The following is a 27532-nucleotide window of genomic DNA, read 5'->3' as shown; positions in this document are numbered from 1 at the left end:
GATAAACTGAAACTTTGAGCAACCTCTGGACTGACTCTGATTACCCTCCACACCCTACCTGCGCAGGGAGGAGAGACCACAAAGCCAGCAGCAAACAGTAAACTTTTCCAAGAATCAGAGAGGAAGGAGTTCCTGACACCCTGCAGCAAAAACAACCTCAAAATTCCCCTGAAGACAGACCCATGGGAGCTGGGGTCAAGGTGGCCTTGCGCTTCACCGAGGAGGTGTCATTACCAAACGTGCTGGACATTGGCTACCTACGGAAGAAAGATTAAGGACTGAAAGAAAATAGTGGAGAACATGCTTATGACATGGGGGTAGGACAGGGAAGGCCTTGAGCAAGACACAAATCACAAAAGCAAATAGAGAAAGAGTGATGTCTACCTTCAACGAAATGTGAAACTTCTGATTCAAAATCGGAAACCTCTATAAGCTGAGATAAAAGACAAGCAACAGAGTTGGAGAAGATATTTCTAACATTTGTATGTGTGCAAATGTATGTGTGTAATGTGCTTATACATATACATATAGATAAATGCGTGCGTATACACATGAATTCTGGATTGTTATCTAGGCTCTATGAAGAACTCCTATCTGTTAATAAGAAAAAAGACCAAGATCAACAACCTCATAGACAAGTGGATAAAGAAGATGACCAGTTAGTCCACAGAAAAGAAAATGCAAATGGAAGTGGGAGGGCCCAGAGGAACTCTTGCTTTATCTAAATTGTGTTGATTACGGGAGCATATGCTTATACTAATTTTATAGGTAAAAAAACAGAAAAAGTACCTGAAGATTAAACCCAAGCAATGCGATGTGTCAGTTTTGCCAACACACAGGAAGGGGCTCTCAGCCTGTAAAATAGGAGCCCTTTTGTGTGAAGCTGACCAGATGCGGAGAAGTTTCAACAGTCCTAGAGAAGAGGACCGCAGGGGACAGAGAGCCAGGGAACAGGGCAGGGAGGATCTAAGAGGGCACCCGGCCAAGCGGTTCACTGCAGCTGGTGCAGGGCTCAGCTATACCCTGGGGCTGGGCGCTTAGCACATTGTGGTCAGATGAAGGCAAGCAAGCAGTGGCAGGGACTCTCCATTTGAGTCAAAGTGACAAGCAGTGCCCCCAGTCCCTGGGAAGGATGAAATCCAAATTTAATTCCCTTCTGAACAACATTCTACAATCTATGCTTCATTTAGGTATCTGTAAGCCTAAAAGAGCTGAAAAATCATTTTATTTCCCCTTCCAATGTACAATTTCTAAGACATTTGAATTATCGATGTTGAAGTTTCATTGAGAATGAGCTGAGTGTCCTGCTTTCGGCCTGAAAACAAAGCCTCAGCCACAGTCTTCGTCTCACCCTCTTTCTCTCTGTTTATTTTCTTTTAAAAAATTTCTCCCATTTCTTTGTTCTTTAACAAAGAGTTGTGTGCATCTTCTAAGCTCCAAGTGCTGCACTGGCTTCCAGCAGACAATGGCAACCGTGGCCCTGACCTCATGGCGTGACTGAAGGGAGGGTCTCGGCCAGGAATGTGAGGGACGCCAGAAAGAGGACATTGGTGGGCAATGAAGGGTCTTCCTTGCGGGGGGGTGTTGGGGGGTGTGCTGTGCTTCCCTAGCAGTCCACGACCACTGGCAGGGGACACCCCGGGCAGACCAGTGGTCCAAATTTATACCAGCGAAAAGCAAATGTTGATGCCTTCCCAATCACGGTTCCTTCAAAGGCTTCAGGGTTCCTTGGGAAGGGAAAAGAACATTAGTTCAGCTCCTGCGATGTGCTGGGACTGTGCTAGGAAGTTTCACAGATGCTAGTTCATTTAGATTGGATATGCCTCCCGGACCAGTGTGCTGTCCGTTATGGAAAATCAAAACAGCCATTGCATTTCCATAGTGTTCACAAGGAGCCTCATTTCTGGGCTCAGGCAGGCTGAGGCGTTCCAGGGTTGAGAATCAGACTTGGTGACTGAGCAGGAACTGTTGTCCTTTTTCTCTTTTGAGATATGAAATTTGCTTCACATCTCAGAAGAGTGTGTGCCTCCATCCCACACTTGGGACAAGCGCCGTTATTCTTTTTTTAAAACATCTGTAGAACATATTAAATGCTCTGCTTTCTTCACGGGTTAAATCATGCTGGGGCGGGAGGCTTGTGGTGTAAGAGCGGTGCACTGTGCATCCACTAGGGCTCTCCCGTCATTCCAGTTCGTCTCCTTGCCACGCCCCAGCTCGCTGCCCCCAGGCTGTCTTGGACAGACACATCTGTGTTTTGTAATAGAGCACATCATGCACTATTATATGGGGATATTTTATAAAGGAGCCCACGTGACACAAGGAAACTAGGAGAAAACAATCCTAGAAATCCCCAAAGCTTGGAAGCAGGGACATGCAAGCGAGGTACAGCATATGCTATCAAGTGGCAATGTCCTTCCAGTAGGAAAGCCGCTGTTGTCATCAGTTTAGGCAGGTGCTGGGATTAAGCACATCTACCACTCAGAAAATAATACAAATAAGAACCACGGTCCACATCCAACATGGGTCTCCCAAATTCTCTAAAATGTGGAAGTGTGCAGATCTTAGCATCTCTGTCCTTTCTCTCGCTTCGAGGAAGTTGGGCTCCTGGGCACTGCCTCATCAATCATGCCCAGTACCTGTGTACAGGTGCCTCCCCTGCTCTCTGGAGCATCGGGACTGGAAGGATTGGGAACAGAACGGAGCTTTGATTGATCCTCTTGTCCGCACTTGTGCCTTTCAACTCCCTGTGGTGGAGGGTGACAGTTTAGTCTCCCTGTCTTCTCCTGGGGTCCCACCGGCTCCTGAATCAAATCCTGCTCTTCCCCTGCGTATTCTGAGTGGCCTGCACACTCTGGGCTCTCTCTCTCCTTGACCCCTGGAACACCACCTCTTTGGTTCTTAGTAATCCGGAGCCTTCCTACCTGGTAGTAGCACTGACATCCTCTTCATCCACTGGAAGCTTCCAGATCCTGGCCCCCACAACCCATTCTCTCCCCATAGGGCTTCCACAGAAACACAACGTGTACTGTGTGCCAAATGACTGGCCCAGAGGATGAGTGAGTGGGGGACCAACGTAGGCTAGGGGAGGGGTCAGAAGAGAAAAGTTCCAAGGGAGTGGGAACCCAAGGAAGGCTTCTTAGAGGAGCTGGGACACATTGGGGCCTGAAGGAAGTGGACATTTAGACGAGCATAAAGACTGCAGGGATGTCCAACCTTTTGGTTTCACTGGGCCACATTGGAAGAAGAAGTGTCTTGAGCCACACGTAAAATACACTAACACTAATGTTAGCTGATGAAGAACAACAAAAATAATAGCAAAAAGTCTCATAATGCTTTAAGAAAATTTATGAATTTATGTTGGCCCACATTCAAAGCTGTCCTGGGCCACGTGCATCCTGCGGGCTTGGGTTGGACAGTCTTGAGCTAAAGCAAGTGTGTTCTGAGCTGGAGAGAAGGCCAGCCCCACGGTTCATCGTTCATGGTATCATCAACCAATGATACTAGGAACAGTTGGTGGGTGCAGGCCCTGGGCAGGGCAATAATAAGAAAAAGCTTAGAAAAGAAAAGGAGGAGGAGGAGGGGAGTTGCGGGTCATGGAGGGCCTTGAAAGCGAGACTGAGGGTTTGGACCTTACCTTTTCGGCATACTACCGAGCAGAAACCCCTGTCACTGTAATTTCTGATGATTCTGTCTTCCATCTTTGGGAATAACAACGACATAGTCGACTACTCCTCTACAAAAAGAGTCGTCAGATTCTTTAACCATGTGGGGCATCTTGTTTTGGCATCCACACTAGTTCTGTTACAGCCAAAGCTGGGGGTGTTGGGGAATGTCGCATGCTTCAGGGGTATCTGTGTAGTGTGCATTTTACCCAGCTGAGCTCACAACTTTAATGTGTGAAGGTGATCCTCCAGTTCAGGAGGACAGAGTTGGTGCCCTTGCCTGTACCATCCTAAGAGAGGTTTCTGCTTCCTGTGTCCTGCTCTGTGGGCTCCCCAGGTACCCCTGCAGTTTTTGCCTAATACTTTGGAACCAACAATAATAACTTATGAAATCTTTATTTCAAACACAGCTTGAATTTCATCCATTTTCATCTTACCCAAAGAGATAGATTCTCTAGTCCTCAATCTGGATGGTCAGAATGGAGAAATCCCCTTACCTGCAAACACAGGTCTTTTATTCTGTAACCACTGTCTGTCTGGTTTTCTGTTTTGGAGTCTCCCAGGGTGATGGTGCCGCCAGATAAAAGTTGTAATGAGAGAGGGAGGGTGGGAGGGAGGGTCCAGTGGCAAGGCAGGGCGGAAGGTAAGCGGAGACCTTCTCCAATCAGAAGTCTAGAAGGCAGGGCACGCAGTAGGTCTGCAGGATGACTCAGAACCCGCGTATGAATGCTGTCTATTCATGGGTCCAGGCTTTTGTTAAAGTCTGGGCCTGCATTTTAAAGAGGGAGTCAGGGAACTGGCTGGACTGGTCTGACAACTAAGGAGTGGTGAACACTTCCCCCAGGCTAGTACTCAGGTGGATGAAGTCATCAATATTTTCTGGGCAGTCCTAATCTGTGATTAACTTTTATCTCTGCTGTGAAATAACAGCCTCCTTTTCAGCCTGCTAACAATAAGTTAACCTGGCTGCCCGGCTGGGGGATATTTTATGCTGGGCTCCAGCAGAGGCACACTTGAGAAGCCATGTGGGACTCCTGCCCTGGAGAGAGCCCAGAGTGGAGGGAGGGGTCTGTATGGTGGTGGGAGTCCTCTCAGCAATGGTCCTTGTGATGCCGGTGTACTCTGATGTCCTGACTTCAAACTCAGCTTACCCAAAGCAAATGTCCACTTTCTTCCGTACTCCTTTCTTGTTTAAAGCCTCACCACTGACCAGGAAGTCTTGATAGAGCCATCTAGTAATTCTTAAGTCCTACCTCATCCAACCTTGTTTTGACTCCTGCAGTGAGCACAGCTGCCCTCACCCTCCCCTCTCTATGCCCTCACCTTTGCAGGAGACTCTCAATTTCTCAGTCCACATCAGCTCTCAGACCACCAAAGCAAGGGTTATTTTTCTAAAAGACATTTGTTCCCATTGCTCCTCTGACTAAAGTTCCTACTATGGGACATTTGCCCTTGGCACTCAAGGACCTTGCAATCAGGCTGAGAACCTCAGGTTCTCAAACTCAAGACCATGGGGAATGTAATAGGTGAATCAGGCAGGTGAAGTCCAGGACTCTTTTTGGTTTATATTTTGTTTACTCAGTTTTGATGGAGACAAGCATACCAGAAAATTCACATTCCTCTTAACTCTAGCAGTAGACAAACAACAGAGCAAGCAGGATGTGACCATTTATACATGGCCTCACTGTTGGGGAGGCAGTAGGGAGTGTTGGAGACCAGGGTCAGGACTAGGGCTAGGGCAAGGCTAGGAAGGTGCCCAGGATGCATGTTTTAAGGAAGCACTCACTCTTGGGGCTTTGCAAGTACAAGGCTAGCAATGGGAGATGAGTGCCTCCTTAAAGTTGGCTTCTTGGGCCTTGTTTGCCTGACCTAGTCTGGCCTTGGTGAGGACAGTGGAGAAATGGAGCATGGACCTACCCAAAGGGATGGCTGCTGATCAGCTTCACCTAGCTGTTGCCAAAGGCAACACTGTGGCCCCACTTTTGCCAAATCTTTTCAAACATTCTGTGGGTGCTTCCATCATAGCTATTATCACCTGGCAAGGGAGTTGTCCCCACAGGTAACCTTCTCACTAAGTGGGGGTGTCTGAGGCCAGGGAGAGCTCTACTCATTCCCCTGTGTGATCCCAGCAGTGAGCATAGAGCAGGTGCCCTGCAATGTTAAGCAAAAAAAAAAAAAAAAAAAAAAGACTTTGGAAATAGAGTTATGGAGCCAGGATGGGTCTTGAGTTAGCCTCACTCTTTATTTCTTTATTCAAGGAATGGTTGTTCAGGGCCAGCGGCTCAGCCCTGGGAGCACTGACTGCTTCAAGACACAGACTCCTCTGGGATGCCAGGCAGAGTCTGCTCCTGAAGGCAGACTCCACTCTTCATGGGGCTCCCTCCATTACTCATTAGGTCACAGAATAATAGAAAAAGGCAGGAAAGATGAAAAAAGAGAATTTAAAAACAAAACACGTCCAGGTGTGGTGGCTCACACCCGTAATCCCAGCACTTTGGGAGGCTGAGGCAGGCAGGTCATCTGAGGTCAGGAGTTCGAGACCAGTCTGGCCAACATGAAGAAACCCTATCTCTACTAAAAATACAAAAATTAGCTGGGCGTGGTGGTGGGCACTTGTAATCCCAGCTACTAGGGAGGCTGAGCCCAGACAATCACTTAAACCCGGGAGGTGGAGGTTGCGGTGAGCTGAGATTGCACCACTGCATTCCAGCCTGGGTGACAGAGCAAGACTCTGTCTCAAAAAAACCCAAACCCCCCCCCCCCAAAAACCCAAAACACATGGTAGCAAAATAATAACAAATTGAAGTATGTCTGTAATGACAGCAAATGGGAACTTACCTACTCCAAGACAGAAAATGATTAGATTAGATTTCTAAAAAGTCCAGGTAGGTCTTGCTTCCAAGATACCATCTAAGATGAAATCACACAGGCTGAAAATAAAGGAATGGAAAAATATACACTATTTAAATGCTAGCAATAGCAGACAGATTATAATAGGAGAGAGACTATATAATAATCAAGGCACCAACCGACTCAGAAGCTGTCACAGGCCCAAATGTATATGTATGTGTCTAACATACACGCACCTCAAAATATAGTAAGCAAATTGACAGAACTACAAGTCTAAGATTACAACCCATTTAACTTTATCAAAAGTTGATAAATCAAGCAATTTAAAAAGTACTAGGTTATAAAAGATTTGAAAAACAAAAGTAACAAGCATTATCTAATGGGTGTGTGTGTGTAAAACTTTGCGGCCAAACATAAATGGTCATCATAGATCATTTAAAAACAGTTGGTGATATACAGATTATTTAAAAATTTGACCACATACTAGGTCACAAAGAACTCAACAAATATCTAGAATCATCAAATAACACAGATCATATTCTCTAAACACAACCCAATTAAATTAGAAGTCAATACTAAAATACAGTCTCAAACTCATATATGTGGGAACTAAAAAATTCACTCCCTAGTAACTAATAGGCTGAAGAAGAAATTACAACAGAAATTTGAGGAGTTTGAGACCAGCCTGGGCAACAATGCAAAACCCTGTTTCTACAAAAAATTAGCCAGGTGTGGTGGTGGGTGCCTGTGGTCCCAGCTACTTGGGAGACTGAGTTGGGAGGACTGCTTGATCCCAGGAGGTGGAGGTTGCAGTGAGCCATTATCATGCCATTACACTCCAGCCTGGGCCACAGAGTGAGACCTTGTTGAAAAAAGAAAGAATATCTAGAGGTAAATTTATAGCCTGACATGAATTTATTTCAAAATCATGAGAGGTTTAAGCGAGCTGAGTGCTCAAAATAGCAATTGCAAGGAACTTCCTTAATGTGATAAAGGTTATCTATCAAAAGTGTATAGTAAACATTATAATTAATGGTGAAACTTTGGAAGCATGCCCATCAATATCAGTAACAAGACGAGGATGTCCATTGTCAATATGTCTATTCATCAGTATCCTGGAAGCCGTACTGAGGGCAATGAAACAAGCAAAAGAAATAGGAGAATAAGAATTTAGAATGAAGCAAGAATATTTTTATCTGCAGGAAATATGATAATCTATATAGAAAATTCAAGAGAATTTTCTAATAAACTATTCAAATGAAAATACAGTCCAACGAATATATATACACAAAATTGGGTACAATTTATATGTATTAATTATAACCAATTAGAAAATATAACAGGAGAATGAGTCTTATATTTCAACTAAAGCTATAAGATCTTTCTGCATACATTAAACAAAATATGTGCACGTTGCTTGGTTTTGATTTTTCTTGGTTCATTTGGCTGGTTTTAGAGGAAACTTGGAAATACAGCTGAGGGACATGAAAGAAAATATTAGTGAGTGGAGTGATTCACCACATTCTTAAATGGAAAAACTAGTGTTGATTTAAGAAAGATGTCAGGCCGGGCGCGGTGGCTCACGCCTGTAATCCCAGCACTTTGGGAGGCCGAGGCAGGCGTATCACAAGATCAGGAGTTCAAGACCAGCCTGGCCAACATATTGAAACCCCGTCTCTATTAAAAATAAAAAAATTAGCTTGGCTTGGTGGCCGGCACCTGTAATCCCAGCTACTCGGGAGGCTGAGGCAGGAGAATCGCTTGAACCTGGGAGGCGGAGTTTGCAGTGAGCCAAGATTGCGCCATTGCACTCCAGCCTGGGTGACAGTGTGAGACTCCATCTCAAAAAAAAAAAAAAAAAAAAAAAGGAAGGAAAGATGTCAATATCATCTCCTAATTATTCTTTAAATTCACTACAATTCTATCCAAAATCTTGAAGGGGATTTTTTTGTGTGTGAAATTTGACAAGCTGATAATCATCAAGACTAATTATACATTTATAATACTTAACATAGTACAATATCGATATATAGATAGTGAATAGATCAATAGAAAATTAGAGAACTCAGAAACTGACCTATGCATCTGTGGAAATTTCATATATAACGGAAGAGTCATTACAGATTAGTAAAAAGAAGGGGTGGGCTCGTTCAAGAAATAACTTAGGAAAAATAGGTTATCCATACAAGAATAATAAAATTAGATCCTTATATCAACACACATGTAAAAACAAATCCTTGGTTGATTACATACCTAAGTGTAAAAAGCAACAACTTCAAATAATTTAGAAGAAGATGTAGAAGACTATCTTTACGAACTCAGAGTAAGAAATTATTTTCTTAAACTATATACAAAAAGACCCTTAATGCAAAAATTAACAGACTATTTGGTTTAGTAAGCAGGATTGTATTTTAAAATTTTTAAATTATTCATAAAAAATGTTAAATGTCAAGCCAGAAACCAGTATTTGCAATGCAGTCATATAATTGACAAAGGCCAGAATCCAGAATACATGAACACTGGCAAGTCAATGGAAAAAATGACCAAAAGACATGAACAAGTTATGGATGAAGGCAGCTCAAAGGGCAAATGAGCATTTGACTAGATGATTACCTCTTAGTAATCAGAGAAATAAGCAAACAAAAAAGTATGCCACCTGTGTATTAGGGTTCTCCAGTGAAATAAAACAAATAGGATTTACATGTATATAGAAAGAGATTTATTTTAAGAAATTAACTTCCATGATTATGAGAGTTAATATCTCTTCCATGATTATGGAAGCTGGTAAGTCCAAAATCTGCATGCTGGGCTGGCAGGCTGGAGACCCGGAGAGAAGACAATGCTACAGCTCAAGTCAAAAGGCCATCAGGCTGAAGACCCCAGGAAGAGCTGATGTTGCAGGTGAAGTCCCAAGAACAGTTTGCTGGAGAATTTCCTCTTGTTCAGGGAGCTCAGCCTTTTACTCTATTCAGGCCTTCAACTGACTGGACGAAGCCTGCCCAGGCTCTGGAAGGCAATCTGCTTTACTGAAAGCCCACCAATTTCAATGTAAATCCCCATCAGAAACACCCTCACAGAAACATTCCGGCCAAGTTGACACTCAAAATCAACTACAGAACCTCCAACACATCAGACTGGCCAAAACATTTGTCTGCCACTACCAAGTGTTGACACAAAAGGCAAACATAAGAAACTCATACTGGGCTGGTGAGGATGTAGAGCATGGATCCAGACTGGAGAACCTCTCACACATGTGCACAAATATTCACTGCATCATTATCTGTAGTGAAAAATTGAAAAGGAACTGAAAAACAATCAGCAGAAAATAGACAAATTAATTCTGATAAGGTTCATATGACTGAGTATTATACAGCAGTTAAAGGAGTTAGAGCAACAGGTATCTGCATGGATAAATCTAAAAACAATCATGAGTTTCAGGAAGATAGATACAACAGGACAGATTTCCATAAAATGGAAAACTTACAAACCAATACTTTATATTACTTAGGAATGAATACTGTAGGAAAATCTAAAAAACAGGCTTGAGATTAATACACAGTAAATTTAAGGTTGTGGCATCTCTGAGGAGTAGGGAAAGGGAATGAGATCAAGGAGGCCTTCATCTGTGTCTGTAATGTTTTATGTGTTTTTTTCTAAAGGCTTGAAACAAATATGGCAAAATATTAAGATCTGATAAAGCCATGTGGGCGTATGACATTTGTTATATTTCTCTCTATCCTTATTCATGTGTTTAAATAATTCTCCGAAAGCAGTTTACTGAGAGTTCAGCATGTCTCCTGAGACATGCTAGGAAGTTATGTGCAGGAGTGGAGAATATGATTCATTGGAAGAGTTAAGTGCCCTAAATGCCAGCCAGGCTGTGACCCCAGGACAGAAGTAGGGTGGGGGGGCCTTCTTGCTTGCTAGTGACAATCTACACCAACCAGCACCACAGGAGCCCCAGGATGACAAGGAAGGACAAAACACAGGGGGTGACAGATGCAATGAACCCCTATGTGGTACATTGAGTGGTGGAGACCGGGTGTAAAACACACGATCGGTGCAGGGAGACCAGCTATGGAGGCTTTGGGGACCATGATAATGACCATCCAGTGTGGCTGTACTTTTCTCTAGAAGAGGGTTGGCCTACATCCACTCCAGTGGATCCACATTCTCTCCCAAGAGACTGATAAGAGAGTGAAAGATTTAAGTCACCTGTGTGGGTGGCCCTCAAGACCCCTGCAATGAAAACCCAAAGGGGTATCACAGTGTTTTCTGGCAAGAATTGGCCATTGCTTAATTTTCTTGTCTGATTTTTCCTAGCAACCTTGTATTTGACCTCGCCTGGCATCCTGTGTGGTCATGAGCCACAGAGGTGGAAAAGGCAACATGGTAGAGGCAGGAGGAGGCAGGAGGTGGAAAAGAAGGGTTATCAGGTGATGAGTTCAGCCATCTCTTGCCCTGAGTTTAGTTGTGCTTTGTTTATAAAAAGTGCTTTTCTACAAAAAGTATTTGATGGTACAAAATATTATCAATATGGCTTAGATGGGTTTGAGAAGTAAGAAAAGGATCGTGGTGGTAGCAGGAAATAAGACAGAAATTTTCCATGGGGGCTCCAGGTCTGAAGGCACTGGCAGGTACTGCAGGGTGCCTCAAGCAGGCGTCACTTGATAGGGTCAAAAATCAGTAATGTCTATGCTCATCTCCAACCTCTGCAGATAGAGGAGGAAATGTTGTGAAGTATTTAGATGCATTTTCTTAGGTGCGTTGTTTTTGTTGAATTAGGACATGAAGCCAGCCACAGCCAGCTGTCTCTCCCCTTCGGTGAGAAGGGGACGACGTGAAGCACCCAAGATGTGAACCAGGACTCAATTCACATTTGGGGAACCTGATAGCCTCCTCAGATGCCCCCACAGAAATCCAGATTGACCCCTGAGGCTGAGCTTTACCCTCCGCAGGGATGACTTCCATCCAGCCTGGGATGGGCAGGGGAAACCGCTGCTCACCCGAAGTGTATTTAAGGGGTCCCAACAGCAACTTATCAACATTTTTTGTTGTAAAGCACACAGAGAGCAGTGAATTCTGTCCATTTTGTGAGCAGCACATCTGGATAAGGCAGGTGCCCCACTGCATTCAGAGCAGCTCTGGGAATGAGGAAGGAAGAGACAACAAAAGGAACAGGAGCCTTCCAATAAGCCCAGACATTAGACCTGAGCCTTGTCCCTGTCATAGGCTAGTCATTATTGATTAAAAGGTGGACATCAGATAAACCCAAGAGGGACAGCCCCGCCAACGTCCAGAGCAATGAGGCCCTCACTCTGCCCTCACCTCTGCCAGTGTAAATTCTGGGGAATTTCTGAAACACCGTGAATACAGAGGTGTGACTCAGTGGGAATCACAGGAATGTCAGAGGACAAAGCAGTTGGTATTAATAAATTGCTTTGAGTCTGGAAACAAAGAAGTGGCCTTCTTTGTTTCCAGGCTGAAGTACAGTGCTGTGATCATAGCTCACTGTAACCTCGAACTCCTGGCCTAAAATGATCCTCCTGCCTCAGCCTCCCAAAGCACTGGGAATACAGGCATGAGACACCATGCCTGGCCTGGCCTTCAGTTTCTCTGCTCTAACTCTGTGTTGCCCTAGAAATCCTTTTCTGAATTTCTCAGGTATTAGACATTCACCCATGACATCTGCATCTTTCTCATCTTCACCAGAATCACCCTGTCTTAATTCCTTAACTCTTCCTGCTTCTTGCCAGGCTAAGAAGCTGTATTAGTTATCTATTGCTGTGTAACATGTCACCCTAAAACGTGGCAGCTTAAAACAAATGTGTGTTATCTCACACTTTCTGTGAGTCAGGAATATGGACACGGCTTAGCTGAATGCTTGTAACTCAAGGCTGCTCATGAGGCTGCAGTCAAGCTGTCACCTGAGGCTTTGGTCTTATCTGAAGGTTGACTGGCATGGGGGCATCTGTTTCCAAGCTCACTCATGTGGTTCTGTCCCTCCCCACCTAGGCGTCTCCACAGGCTGCCTTGTGACATGTGGCTGGTTACCCTGGGGTCGTGTGACTCTGGAGAGAGTAGGACAGAGGACCCAAAATGGAAGCCACAGTGCTTTTTATAACCTATGAAGATGTGACATCTCATTACTTCTGCCCTATTCTAGTCATAGAAGCAAGTTACTTAGACTGGTCCACACCGACAGGGAAAGGATGACATGAGGGTGAGGATACAGGGAGAGTGGGGGTCATTGGGGCCCATCTTAGAGGCTGCCTACCACAGAATCCCTAATTATTTCTCTGAAAATAAAAGGAGGAGAAAGAGACACCATATTCTACATTTCTGCTCACCTCTGTGGTGGGGCTGATGTGCATGGTTTTCATGGCTTAAAAGCACACTCCATCTCACTGGGGGTTTCCCAAATGGTCATATGAAGAGAGGAATTGCTCCCCAGAACCGCTGGGGCACCTCATTTCATTGATGCTTTTTCTTCCTCTCCACGGAGATGCTCTGGGTAGAAGGAATGAAGCCTTCAAGGTGGACTCTGGAGGGCTCTCCCAGAGGCTTCTGTCTGAACCAGTGGGCTTAAAAATGAGCAAGGGAGAACCTTCATGAAAATCACTGTCAAGTACTGTCTCAGTTTGCTCCAGCTGCTGTAACAGAATACCATAGACTGGGTGGCTTGTGAGCAATAGAAATTAATTTCTTGCAGTTCTGGAGTCTGGGAAGTCCAAATTGAGGTGCTGGCAGATTCTGTGTCTGGTGAGGGCCCACTTCCTGGTTCATAGACAGCCTACTCCTCGCTGTGTCCTCACCTGAAGGAAGGGGCAAGGCAGCTCTTTAGTGTCTCTTTTATGATAGTACTAATCTTATTTGTGAGGGCTCCACTGTCATGACCCGAGCACCTCCCAAAGGTCCCACCTCCAGGTATCATCCCACTGGGGATCAGGCTTCAACACCTGAACTTGAAGACAAACATTTGGTCTATAGCAAACACCCACCATATACCAAGCCCCGTGCTTCTCTGGGCTTGGGGGTGCTGGGATACCAAGGTAAATTAAGCCTGGGCTCCATGGCAAGCTGGTGTGATGGTTGAGAGAAGGTCTAAGGGGTCAATAAGGGGTTCTTGCCTGGCGCGGTGGCTCATGCCTGTAATCCTAGCACTTTGGGAGGCTGAGGTGGGCCGATCATGAGGTCAGGAGTTCGAGACCAGCCTGGCCAGTATGGTGAAACCCCATCTCTACCAAAAATACAAAAAAGTAGCCGGGCATGGTGGCATGCACCTGTAATCCCAGCACTCTGGGAGGCCAAGGCGGGTGGATCACGAGGTCAGAAGTTCGAGACCAGCCTGGCCAACATAGTGAAACCCCGTCTCTACTAAAAATACAAAAAAAGTAGCCAGGCATGGTGGCACATGCCTGTAATCCCAGCTACTCGGGAGGCTGAGGCAGGAGAATTGCTTGAACTTGGGAGGTGGAGGTTGCAGTGAGCCGATTGCGCTACTGCACTCCAGCCTGGATGACAGAACGAGACTCCGTCTCAAAAAATAAAATAAAATAAGGGGTTCTTATCCTAGTGCTATTCTCAGCTGAGTGACTTTGGGAGAGTGACTTGACCTTCATGAGCCTCAGTGTTCAAAGGATCTTTATGATTATGTCTGTGAAGCCCTCCGAGTCACCTCTGAGTCTAAGCATCCATCTAGGTGCTCCATCAGCAGTAGGTATTCCCAGTGCTATTGCAGAGAAACTCTCTAAACCCACCTCTCAAACTGGGCCAGCCTGGAGACTGGACCCAGTGGGTCTGGATGCTGACTTGAGCACACATGTACCTCGGCTCCTCAGGAGACTCTCATGCACCCCAGTGGCTGGGAGCCACTGGTCTAGAGAGTGAGCTGCATCAAGGAATGGTGGCACATGGGAATGTGAGCAGGTGCAGGTGGACACTGGGCCAAGGTGGGGCGTGTCTGGACTCAGGGCCTCGTTGGCCAACTCTCCTAGGACTTAAGAAGGGAGAGGAGCCCAGATAGAGGAGCCAGTTTTTTTTTTATTTCCAACTTTTATTTTAGGTTCAAGGGGTAGGTGTGCAGGTTTGTTACATGAGTAAATTGCATATCATGGGGTTTTGGTATACAAATAATTTTGTCACCCAGGTAATCAGCGTAATACCCAATAGGTAGTTTTTCTGTCTTCACCCTCCTCCCATCCTCCCCCCACCAGGAGTCCCCAGTGTCCTCTGCTCCCATCTTTATGTCCATGTCTACTCAATGTTGAGCCCCCACTTATAAGTAAGAACATGCAGTATTTAGTTTTCTGTTCCTGCATTAATTTGTTTAGGATAATGGCCTCCAGCTCTATCCATGTTGCTGTAATGGACATGATTTCATTCGTTTCTGTGGCTGCACAGTATTCCATGGTGTATATGCACCACATTTTCTTTATCCAATCCACCATCGATGGGCATCTAGGTCTTTGCTATTGTGAACAGTGCTGTGATGAATATATGCCTGTGTGTGTCTTTATGGTAGAATATTTTGTATTCCTTTGGGCATATACCCAGTAAATGGGATTGCTAGGTCAAATGGTAGTTCTAGTTTAAGTTATTTGAGAACTCTCCAGACAGCTTTCCACAGTGGCTGAACTAACTTACATTCTCACCAGCAGTGTAGAAGCATTGAGGGGCCAGTTTTAAATCCTAGTCCCTTCCTGATGCTTTATTCATGCTTTATTCCTGCCTCCTGTCACCCGTCTTAGGGATGATTCACCCAGTCCCTTGCTCCTGGCTGGAAAAACCTTTTAAGGAAAAGTCGCTAATCTGGGTACATCTAGACTTAGCTTTGCCCGTGGAAAGTCTCTTGCTTTTCACAGCCATTTGCTACCCACCCTGCACCTCCCCACACCCCTCAGACTTCATGCTTGAGTCCTGTTTACCAAATGATGGGATCCTGTTTTGTCACCTCAGTCCCCTCTGAGGGGCAGTCAGCTGGTTGGAGCAGGAGGCTGCTCAATCCCACGCTGCGGGCTCCTGCACAAGGTCAGATGTGCAGGCCATCATGAAGTGAGTGTCGAGGGTGGTGTCATCCTGAAGGTTAACGCTGTAGCGGGGAGAGCGTGGGGTTGCGTGTCCCTCTCCCTCCTTGTGCAATAACTATCGTGGGTAATTCTTTTATCGTCTTTTAGATAATTTTTACATCCACAAATCAGAAAAGGAATGAGAATCAAACAAAGTAATACATGTGGAAGAACTCAGAGAACAGTGTCATTCTATAGCAACAATCAACACAGAGCCTCTGCTAAGTGTCAGGCCACATTCTGAGCACAGCGGAGACAGGACTGAGCAAAGCCACCACAGAGTTCACATTATAAAAATGAAACAAATGAATGACAAGTGTCACACGGGGTAACAGGCATGATAGGGGAGACAGAATGAGGAGAGCATGTTTAACAGTAAGAGGTTCGGGAAGGAAGCCGGCCCAGACCTGAGTGAAATTAGCCATGCCTGTGCCCGGGGGAAGCAGGTGCCAGCAGGAGGAACACCGAGCCCAGCCTCCTGAGGTGGAGGGCATGGGGCATGGTAACAGGCTGCACAGGAGCTCTGCTCTGGAGCACGCGATCCGGGCACAACCAAGAGCATTGGTGGCACCACTTGAACACTTGCAGCCAGCTCATGACAGCATTTAAAGTGTCTTTGCTGATTTGTTGAAAACAAGATGTAAAAATCACTCAGTGAGAAGGTGGTATAGACCATCAGCCTAACTCCAATCCTGCTCGGGCTTCACCTCCCACCTCCCAGCTCACGTGCCCTCGCAGCAAACTTCTCATTGCTCCTCAATTTATCTCCAGCCCCAGTTCCTCTGTTGAATATCTTCTGCCCCATCATTGCCCCTGTTTTCTAAGAACCAGCTCAAACATCACCACCTCGGTGGAGATTCCCTCCTCCTGGGGTTCACCCAGGAAACTCCACCCAGGAAGCAGGAGGTGGGATTCCTTGGATGAAGAAGAGGTGAGTGAGTCCCCCTATGATGTGAGCTAGTGAAGGGTTGTCATCAGCTCAGAGTCATTCCAAAATACTCTTAATACATTTCTGTTTTCATTGTATCTTTAGGAATTAGTGGCGATGTTTATGCCATTGCAGAAAAAAAAAGAATGATGCTCCATTTCACAGCTTACAGAGCTGGTTTCACATACACTTGAATGGTCCAGCTATTTCTGACAGCTACAAAACACAGGCGCACACACCACCTTGCCTTCTGGGAAGCTGTAGGAGACACGTTACCTCTTGACAGGATAAACAGCCACACACTAGAGGGTAAAGGCAGGGCAAGCTTCACCCCAGCACCTCCTAACCTGGCACAGGCTTGACCACATGCTACTTCAATGACTTCTTTTTGAGATCAAACACCTGCCCAGCACCCCAGTCTCCTGACTTCTTGCTTGGAGCCTGCATCTCAGCTTCCTCAGCAGCAATGAAAAAGGAAGCCAACCCCGACCTGTAGAAATAGTGTATTTCCTCAATTCCAAGGCACACAATTGTTCAAATTTTAATTATTCTGAAATCAGGATGTGTCTTACAATTAGTCGGTACACTACATGTGGTGTTTCTTTTTTCTTTCATTTTTGTTCACCCCCTACAAGCTGTTCTTAAAACAATGGTGTGTCGTACAATTGATGACATCTTAGAATCAAAGAAAATAATAGTTAAAATCATGGGGTGGCAATTTAAGGTCCACCCGTGTCAGACTTCTCGAAGTCATTGTGAAACTGTGTTTTGTTCTGCTTTGAATGTCTGGTGGTGTGAACCCAGAGAGACTGGATTCCTAGATCCCTGAGGCCTCCTGGCCGAGCCAGGAGCATGGGGCAGACAAAGGGCAAAGCATGGTCCCTACCGACTTGTCAGGCCTGCCAGCCCTGCCACTGGCTTTGTGATTTTCGTTCCTGAATTCATAGAGATGGCTGCCAGCAACGAGAGGTAATCTCAGGACACACAGGCCTGGGCTAGGCCTTGGAATATTCCGGAAGTCGGTGGCCAGAGTTGTATCAAGCCAGACGGGACACATATGGGAATACAATTACAGCAAAGCCGGCAAGGCTCAGTGAGGGGCAGAGGGCCTGGCCACATGAGGAGCCAGTGCTGTGGGCAGGCCCGGGTCTGAGTGCTGGCTGTGTGTCCTGCACAACCACATCTCCCAGAGTGCATTCGTCACCATCCACTCCAGATGCCCCTTGAACAAATGAATTTCACAGTTGCAAAAGGCTGAAAAATGCTCTGTGACCTGGCACCCCCTTGGGGAACCACAGTGCATTAAAGGCTCTGAGAAGTCCTGCAGTAAAGAAACCTGATGAACTTTTGTTTAAGTTAATGTTTTCCAAACTTCTTTGATCACAGAATCCTTTTATTCCAGTAACACCTTTTACAATCTTAAGATGCGAATTTTCTGCAGAACAGCCACCTGGGAACAGGCCTGTCTTGTGCAGAAGCCTGAGGGACTGGGAGCCAATCTCATCACTCCCTCACTTGATTATGGAAAGATGAAAACAGAGAGTGGAGAAATGAAGGGTAAGACCAGGGAAGAGATTCTCTCTGGGGTCCCAAAACATGGCCCTGGCTATGGACATACTTGGGGGTGGGGGGATCCACTTGCCTGCTGGCCTCTTTTGGGCAGTTGGTATTGGTTGCCCGGGTATCCCCGGGGCAGTAGCTGCAGCAGTGGCCTGATGGGTGTGCAAGCAGCTAGCTGGTGTGTCCAGCACGGTCTTGGCACACCTGGTTGTTTTGGAAAGGTCTTTTCTTGAACAGGAACTTGCATACTCAAAAACAACAGCAAAACACAAGGCCACACTCACCCCCCAAGGGTAAGTCCGTGGCTCCTCCTGCACACCCAGGAAAGATCCCGTGGAAACACAGCACCGGAGGATATGGGATAAGAGACAACAGAGAGGAGTGGTGCTTCCTGAATTTAGGAAACATAGCTGCTACTTTGGGCCCTCTAGATACTTGAAAGAAAAAATGATGGAAATCACTAGGTGAGAATTAAGTTCTTGGTGACCACTGGCTGTATGCAGGACAAATAGTACTACAAAGTACTACAAAGAATGCAAATCTGTCTGCTGCACCCAGCAACTTCCAGTTGGTAAAAGGCTATGTCCCTGGAGAGGTAATAACTGCCACTGTAAGAAATTCCTGGGGTCCAATCCTGAATCCTTCTCTCAACAGCAGGATTCTGGGAAAGGGAAGCCAGGTTGTTCATGGACATTCAGTGGAAGAATTAAGGCAATTAAATGTTAAGTTTTGCAGGGCTGGTCGACAAGAGAAGAAGGGAATCATAGGTAATGAGCACAACTAAAATGAAGGCACAGAAGCAAGACGGTCAGGCTTTGCTCAGAGAATAACTTCAATGAGAGCAGTGAGCAGGTGCTCCAGGGTCCTGGGAGACAGTGGGAGGTGGGTCACAGAGAGCAGGCTGAGGAGTTTGGATCTGCTCATAGAGAAATATCTTAAACTAACAGATTCCACGTCAGGCAAGGTCTCTTGGCTTCAAGGAGCTGGCAGTCAGGAGGGAGCGATCTAATGCTGGGTGGGGGTTGAGAGCATCTGGCGGAAAGAGGGAGGATGTGGGCAAAGAGTTTTTCGATAGGTGGTGTGGTTGTCCGAGGGGAGGCCATGAACAGAGAGAACTGAGGCAGGGAGAGGGAAGCCCACAGGCCTTGGGGTTGGGTCAGAGGAGGTGGTCAAGGAGGGAAAGGAAGGCGAGAAGACAAGGAGAAAGGAGGGGAAGAGGGAGGCACCCCCCCTCTCACTGGTGTCAGGATTCAGATTGTGACTGGGCTTTGCATAGAGCAGGTGGGCAGCTGTGACCCACACACGATATTCCACCCGAAGATGTGTTTTTCTGACGTGCACAGTAATTTTCAAAAGCAGGAAAACTTTATATAGATATCTAGGTTTCTCTAGATAAATGGAAAGGCCTGGCCTTCCTGGACCTGCACCTGGCAGTGCCACCTGGAGCTGGTCACAGCTGCTCCCACAACTCCTGGACTGGGCGCTTCAGTTGGCTGTAGTCCCCACCCTTCCTACTGCCTCACACCCAGGTGACTTCACTCACGTCCACTGACACCGTCTGCCTGTCCCCAAGGACACTGAAGTTTGCAACCTAGGTGCAGATTATGTGCACACAGGGCTGCCATTCACAGGAGGGAGATGGTCAGTGGGGTAGGAGGGCGCTGAAATCCAGCTTGCATGCATGCCCATGTTCTCTGTATGTCCCAGGGAAGGAGGTCCCTTCTGTATTTGCACAAAGACATCGTACTGGCTGAAAATGGCCCTGCCCGCAAATTCTCCCAAAGGTGTGTATTCTCCATTGGTCACAATGCACTATGTAGCCCATGAGAAGGAGACCAACTCCGAGGAGCTGAGAGTGAGAGGAGACTGCATTCTCAGACACAATTGTCCAGACACTTCCTTTAAAAACTACACGCCAATGCCCAATAATGCTCAGCCTTGGAAAACAGTGAGTGTCTAATCAAGCCATTTAAAGCAGGGAGAAGATTTTAATTGGTTGCAAGGGCTGGTGTAATTATTTACAGCATACAGAGGTTTTCCTTTTGAACCTCACAGCAATCAAGTGCAGCAGCAATTTTTCTTTCCCTATTTTGCAGATGAGGAAATGGAAGCTTATGGAGGTTAAGTGATTGGCCTCAGGCCATTGCATTTAATACTACTAATAATATTAACAGCCATAGTCCATCCTGGGCAGGCCTGAGCATCTCACACACATTTGCTCATTTCCTCCTCACCCGATGAGAGCACTGATGCTACTTTTTCCTCTCTCCCAGAAGAAGACAGAGGCCTAGAAGAGTCTGGGCAGACTCCAAAGCCCACCCTTCTAGTCCCAATGTGAGACACCCCCATTAATAACACCAAAGGGCCCACACCTAAAGGCAAATCAGTCAACTAAAATCCAGGTCTTTGGTCTAGAATCTGTCACTCTTATTCCTGCATAATTTTTAACACTGGACTCATGGTTCCTTGAGCTGAAATGGTTCATGCAGGATATATCAAAAATCTGAGCATTAACCAGAGTGTTTGTAATGACAAGGAATCTGTGCCTTTTCTATGAGACATACCAGCTCTGTGTTTGACTCTGGTCAGTGTAGGCGTTAACTTCTGATCTGAATCAGCAAGACCTGGGTTCCAGCCTTGCCCTGCAACCCACCAGTGGTGTGGCCTTGGACCCATCGCCTGCCTGTCAAGGCCTCATCTTCTTCCTCTGGGACAAGGGCACAGCCACAGCCCCTGTGTTATGGCAACACTTGGGTCAGGCTCAGGTCTGGCGCTTGGCAATCAGCTGATGATGGCAGGGAGGCTCTGCTTCCTGTCCCAGGCAGAGGGGATGGCACGGCCTGTGAGTAATGCAGGTTTGAGTGGTGAGCCAGTTCAGAGCAAGGCTGGGAGGACCTTTGGGCACAGTCAGGCTCCAGGGATGCAAGGCGTGGCTCCTTCAACTTGTCTCCAGCACAGCCACAGACGCCACCAGTGTGGGGAGGGAGCCCCTGGTCATTTTCTGCTGGGGAGCAGAATCGCTGATGAAGGGCCCAGCGCCAATGGGGAAGAGGCCTCCCCAACAACCCTGGGCCTCCTGCCCGCTCAAGCCACTTAAAAATCCGTACCGTGCCCACAAGGCTTTCCAGTCTCCATGTCTCAGGAAGGTCCAAGACAGTAGGTGGAGGTGGGCACATGACAGGGCTTTCTCATTGCCTCCAAACAATGCCATGTGCTGGGCCATATTTTCTGCTCTTCTAGAAGCTTCTGTGTCCCGGGCCAGGTGGGTGCTCATTGTGTTCCCTCTGTCTCTGGGATCCCCTCCTGCTCAGGATTTAGGGGGATTGGGAGCCCTGTGCCCACCTGCCAGCTCCCATTTACTCACACCACCCTGCAGGCTGGAGGCTTAGCCACTTCTCAGGAGGAGCCTAGAAAGGATATTGGTCGCCCAGCTGCTGAACCTGCCCCAGCATCCTTGAGGGTCTTGAAAATCTATTTTATGCTGGGCACCTGTAATCCCAGAAATTTGGGAGGCCGAGACGGGTGGATCACCTGAGATCAGGAGTTCGAGACTAGCCTGGCCAAAATGGTGAAACCCAACTCTACTAAAAATACAAAACTAGCCAGGCATGTTGGAGCATGCCTATAATCCCAGCTACTCAAGAGGCTGAGGCAGGAGAATTGCTTGAACCTGGGAGGCAGAGGTTGCAGTGAGCGTGAGCCGAGATTGCGCCGTTGCACTCCAGCCCGGGCAACAGAGCAAGACTCCATCTCAAGAAAAAGAAAATCTTAAAAAAAGAATGCCACTGTCATGTGGAAACACCTCTAACAAACATGAGGCCAGCTAAGCTGGGGTGGGGGCCAGGTGGCAGCCTCTGAGGAGGCCTCTGCAGTCCTGGGTGGATAGTTCGGGTACAGCCTGTGAATATGAGAAGCTCTTGGCCACTGCACATGGCTCAGTTCCCATCATCGTGCATCAGACACTGGAAGACAGTAGTTGGAGCTGCTGGACAGGGCTGTTTTTTCTCAACCAGACAGTATCCAGGTGCCTGTCCCTCAGCAGAGGGAGAGGTGCCACAACCGGCTACCATGATAAGGAGTCAGCTCAGAGCACCTTTGTTGGGGGGCCTGAGGAGATGAGGTGGTATGGGGATAGGATTCTGGAGGACCCTGCTGGAACAGGTAGAAGGACAAGAATAACTCCCCACTGGGACTGGAGGAGAGGAAGGCACATGGGGGCCCTTGGCAGGGTGGAGTAGGGCCATAGGTAAAAGGAAAGAGGAGAAAAGGACAGATACTGGGGAGAGTGAGAGGGAAGGGAGGGGAGGAGAAGGGAGGCGGACACCTCCAGATCTGGCATGGCAGAAGTCTCCTTGGAAAAGATGAGTGCAAGATGTGGGAGGAAGAGTAGGACGTGAGGGTCTCCAAAGTCTGCTCGAATTTTCAGGTACAAATGACCTCCCATCAGAATAGCCCCAATCTGAGTTCTGCAGAGGCTGAGAGCCAACTCAAGGGCATGGAGTTTCTGAAGCCAGAAGGGACCTTGATAAACAAGAAAGCCTGAGGCCCAAGGAAGTTAAAGTGATGTGCTGAAGATAACCCAGCCAAAAGGGGGCGCAGCCTGGATCCACACACTTCATGGTGCTCTACCCACTACACCATAAAAGGAGAGTCCAAACATGGTAAAGATGAATGGCAGACTGGCAGCCAGTGCTGTCTCCATGACAGCACTGTCATGGAGATTTACATTGACATTGACATTGACATTGACATTGTCATGGAGATTTACATTGACATTGACATTGACATTGTCATGGAGATTTACACTGTCATTTACAACCTGGCATGCTTTAGATGGTAAAGTAATAAAGCAGAATTGATGTGTCTAAACAAAGACCTCCAGTACCTTGGAAAACTGCACACCTTTGTTTAGCAATTGCGTTCACATTTAGTAATTGTTTTCTGAGTAATCCATTCATCATTCATTTATTCCTATGTCTGGTATTGGCAATTTAAAAATAAACACAACAGAACTCCCACTGTATAATTGCTAAACACAATGACAGCTATAATTGAGGCACTGAAGGAAGGTCAGGGGAGCCCAGGAGGGCGGGGCTGCTGCTGCCTGCTGAGCTGGGAGGGTTGGTGGCACCCCTTGCCCTGGGTTGCCATAGCAGATATCATAATCAATTACGGCCGTCTTTCATGAGGAACCTGGATCTTTCCCAAGGAATCAGTGAGAAGTTTCAGCTCACATACCATCTCTGATTTGCCATCCCTGGGATGTTAGCTGAATCCTCTCATTTTACGTGGAGGAGACTGAGGGCCACAGAGTTCAATGCAGGGCCTAGTTTAGACTCCAGACCAGCTGCCAAGAGAGATGAAGGGCTGGTGGAGACCAGCCAGCAAGTGGCCATGCTGCCTGCTGCAGACCCCACTTCACACTCTCATGCCACCCCCTTGGGCTCACTGACAAAATTATGCTCACAAAAGCAGTGCTCTGATTTCTATGAGATACTGTAGAAAATAACTTGTTTTTTCTTTTTGTATTACTTTTTATTGTATAATACATATTCATTTCAGAAAAACTAGAAAATACAGCTAAATTGGAAGGGAAAATTAAAGTCACTCATAATCTAACCACTGCTATTTACATTTATACCTTATTGGATATATTTTCAATATCTTTCTAGGCATTTTTCTCTCTGCTTATGTGCCTGTGGTGTTATGATACATATGCATAGGTTTTCATTCATGGTTCCTGGCTCATCACTCTCATAGTCCTTGTTATAATGTTGGGAGCGTTAGGCCTCAGGAGACAACGTCCCTCTCTCTGAGTTTTTCCTGTTCTCCTTTCTCCTGCCCAAGGCGGGACTCTAATCCGATTGTGGGTCAAAAGACCTTCATTTCAGAGCAGGTCCTGCCCCAGCCCCTAAAGGAAGAAATGCTGCACAGAGAGGCTAGGAAAAGTCTGAACGGGCAGGTCTTGCTGGGTTTAGATTGTGTTCTTTTTGCCCAATCACATTTCTACATGGTTGTCAGTCATGCCATGTAATGAAGGCTCCATAAAAACCCAAGACGGGCCAGGTATGTTGGCTCACACCAGTAATCCCGGCACTTTGGGAGGCCAAGGTGGGTGGATCACTTTAGCCCAGGAGTTCAAGACCAACCTGGGCAACATGGCAAAACCCCATCTCCACCAAAAGAAATACAAAAATTAGCTGGGCATGATGGCTTGTGCCTGTGGTCCCAGCTGCTCAGGAGGATCGCTTGAACCTGGGAGGTGGGGGTTGCAGTGAGCTGAGATTGTGCCACTGCACTCCAGCCTGAGTGACAGAGCAAGAGAGAGAGAGAGAAATAAAGAAAGAAAGAGAGAAAGAGAAAGAGAAAGAAAAGGAAAGGAAAATAAAAGGAAGGAAAGGACAGGAAAAGAAAGGAGGAAGGAAGGAAAGAAGGAAAGAAAAGAAAAAGAAAGAAAGAGAAAGGAAAAGAAAAAAGAAAAGGAAACGAAAGGAAGGGAAAAGGAAAGAAGAAGGAAAGAGGAAGGAAGGAAGGAAGGCAGGAAGGAAGGGAGAGAAAACCCAAGAGGACAGTGTTCAGAGAGCTGAGCACGTGGAGACAGACAGGAAGGTGGAGTAGTCATCCATGTGCCGAGTGGGTGGCTGCCCCAGCTCCACGAGGACCGGACTCTTCCAGACCTTGCCCTGTGTATCTCTTCATCTGGCTGTTTATTTGTATCCTTTAAAATATCTTTCTAACAAACCTATAATTGTTAAGTGTTTACCCAAGTTCTGTGAGCTACTCTAGCAAATGGAACCCAAAGAGGGGGTCTTGGGAACCCCAGCTTGAAGTGGGTCAGTCAGAAGTTCCAAAGACCTGGACTTGAGACTGGTGGAAAGTGGGAGGCAGTCTTGTGGGACTGAGCTCTTAAGTTGTGGGATCTGATGCTATCTCCTGGTAGGCAGTGATGGAAGGGAATTGGAGGACACCCAGCTGGTGTCCACTGCTTGGTGTGTGGGGAAAATCCCCACACATTTGGTCACAGAAGCCTTCTTCTGTTGTTGATTGCTGTTGCAGTGTGAGAGCAGAGGAAAAACATGATTTGAGAGGTTTTTCCAAAATGGTTCTTGAGTGGTAATCACAGTAATCCATCCACCTTGTGAGTGTGCATGCATGCTTATGTATGTGTATATGGGATTACATAAATATGGCTCACATGTGTATGATCATATTTGCACACTCCCTTGTCCACTTACTTATATATCAAAGTTTCCCTCATAATGTCTGCTCTGTGTCACTATGTACCCTCCCCTGTCCTCCATTCCCCACACCAAGAGTATTATGAGTATTAAATGCCACGTGGGCAGGTTCCCCAGGCAATGAGGGGGTGGGCCTGTCAAATGCAGGCCATGCAGAATGCCGCAGGGCGGGAGACGGGTGAGCCAAGGGAGCCGAGAGTTCCAGATAACAGAGTGCACAGCAAATGCCATGGCCCGCGTCCAGCAACCAGGAGAAACAGAACTGCTGAGCTCAGAATAGGCCAAGGCCGCGTCTGCTAGCAGGGAGCAAGGGCACAGCCTGCTGTCTGGCCTCTTCTGCCCCATCCCTCCACCGGGACATGGCCCAGATGAGAAAGAGCTGCCAGACGGCAAGTCAAGCGTGGGGCGGGAGAGGACAACGTTTTATGCAAGAGTGGATTCTCGGAGCCTCTGCACTCTCCATCAGGGCTGCTGGCATGGAAAACACAGAGAAACCATCACCTAGGACTTGATTGAACTACTGGACTTCCCAGAAGAGTCCAATTTAAAGCAAAGAGGTCCAGAGAAAAAAGCATTCTAGTGACATTTTTATATATTTAAAAACTGGAAAAAAGAAAAAATAATTAGAACACTGAGTTCCCACTGTCTATGAAAAATGGGCCCAGCCCCGCTGACAACCAACACGCCTCACCTCACACCTTCCCCTCTGCCTTCGTTCTGGCCGTGAGCCCTGAGCCGACCATGCACATCTTACCACCTGGAGAACCTCAAACTCTCCTCTTGCCCACCCCCACCAAGCCCCACATTCAAAAGGCTTGCCCGAGAGGCCTGCCCACTTCCTTGGCAGTTCTGGCCTCCAGTGCCCTGGCAGGTGAGTGACTTCTCTGTCCTGTGTAGCATTTGGTACAGGTATGTACTGCATTTATAACACTTACCATACTGGCTTGGGGTTGTGACACATCTTCAAGGGAGTCCCTGGAGAGCAGAAAGCTTGTCCTATTCATGTTTTGCCCATCTTGTTCCTGAATAATACCTGCACATTGCAAGGGATCAGCAATATTTCCAACCAAACCATAAACTTCTCCATCTCCCCTTGAAGTCTTCTCGATAACTTTCCCAGAAACTCCCAGAAACAACAATGGCTGTCACTCACTGAGACCCTCCTATGCGTTAGGCCCTGTGCCAGGCCTTGGCATTCACGTGTCACTTAAACTTCAGGTAGTTTGTCAGATTTAGCAAAAATAATAATAAATAATAATTTAGGATATCCAGTTAGATTTGAATCTCAGATAAGCAACAAATAATATTTTAGTATAAGTATGTCCCATACAACTTTTATACCAGGCATCCTATATTTTATCTGGAAATCCTGGCCCCAGGGCAACCCTACGTGAGAAACTTGTAGGTCCATTTTACATGTGAAGGAACTGAGGCTCGGAGAGGTTAAACAACTTTCCCACGGTAACACCTGAGATGGAATGGCAGGCAGCTGACTTCAGAGTCCCCCAACACGGCCTTTGCTTGTCTGGGAGAGGGAGCTCCAGGTGGAACTGGTAAAGGGGGTGAATCCATTGGCTGGGAGATGTCATGAGTTTGAGACTATATTGGGAGCACCCGGCACATGGTGGCCATCAAGCAATTTTTAGTCTCTCTCTCCCTTCCTTCCCTTGCGCCAAATTGGAAATTCCCTTGAGACCCTCACACGGAGTCCTCTGCAAACACATTGAATTTCAGCCCTCATAGGAAAGCAGAAGGAAGAAGGATGATGTTGGAGAAGATCCCTGCCATTTGATTTATTACAACAGTCTGAAGCCTCAGAGAGCTCAGAGCAAAGAGACCCTGGAATGCAGCCCCAGATCCCTGGAAGAGACTTTACAGGTGTCACGTTGGAGAGTGGAGAGTGTGGGGGATGGTCTCAAAGAACAGGAGCAGAGATTATCAGAGACACCACAAACTTGAAAAGTCAGGATGGGTAGGACTTGAGGAGAAAAAAAAATCTTACCTTTACAATAGCTTCAAGGACCACAAATTTAAGGGCTCTCCAGAGGCTTTAGGACAGAGTCAAGGAAGTGCTTCCTGGTCGACCCTTTCAACAAAAACTGTGCCCCTGGTCTCACTGCTGCAGGCAGTGATGGTGGTGTCAACATCTGCTCTTCTCGGGCTCCCTCCACGCCTCTGAAAACATGGAAGTGCTTTTACCCATCCAGAAAGAGGGGCAGCTGAAGG

At 46.8% G+C, this 27532-nt stretch overlaps 2 long non-coding RNA genes across 14 annotated transcripts in view; one reads left to right on the top strand and one right to left on the bottom strand.

The window, feature by feature from the left end:
• The window catches only part of MIR4435-2HG (MIR4435-2 host gene), a 299296-nt gene that overhangs the window by 202390 nt on the left and 69374 nt on the right, over positions 1 to 27532 (top strand). The gene's annotated exons all lie outside the window — the stretch shown is intronic.
• On the bottom strand, positions 1588 to 27394 carry LOC101927283 (uncharacterized). 7 transcript variants are annotated; one of them, XR_923196.4, is made up of 5 exons: positions 27309 to 27394; positions 26242 to 26339; positions 12863 to 16998; positions 6501 to 9792; positions 1588 to 3733 (listed from the first exon to the last, which is right to left on the bottom strand). It is a non-coding gene; the product is annotated as an uncharacterized LOC101927283 (long non-coding RNA). The 7 variants fall into 7 exon arrangements; XR_007087187.1 differs by having other exon boundaries at positions 6501 to 6592; XR_007087184.1 differs by having other exon boundaries at positions 6501 to 16998.

Source organism: Homo sapiens, chromosome 2 (genome assembly GCF_000001405.40).
Source record: "Homo sapiens chromosome 2, GRCh38.p14 Primary Assembly".
NCBI classification, from domain to species: domain Eukaryota; kingdom Metazoa; phylum Chordata; class Mammalia; order Primates; family Hominidae; genus Homo; species Homo sapiens.
This window is presented reverse-complemented; position numbering and strand designations above follow the sequence as displayed.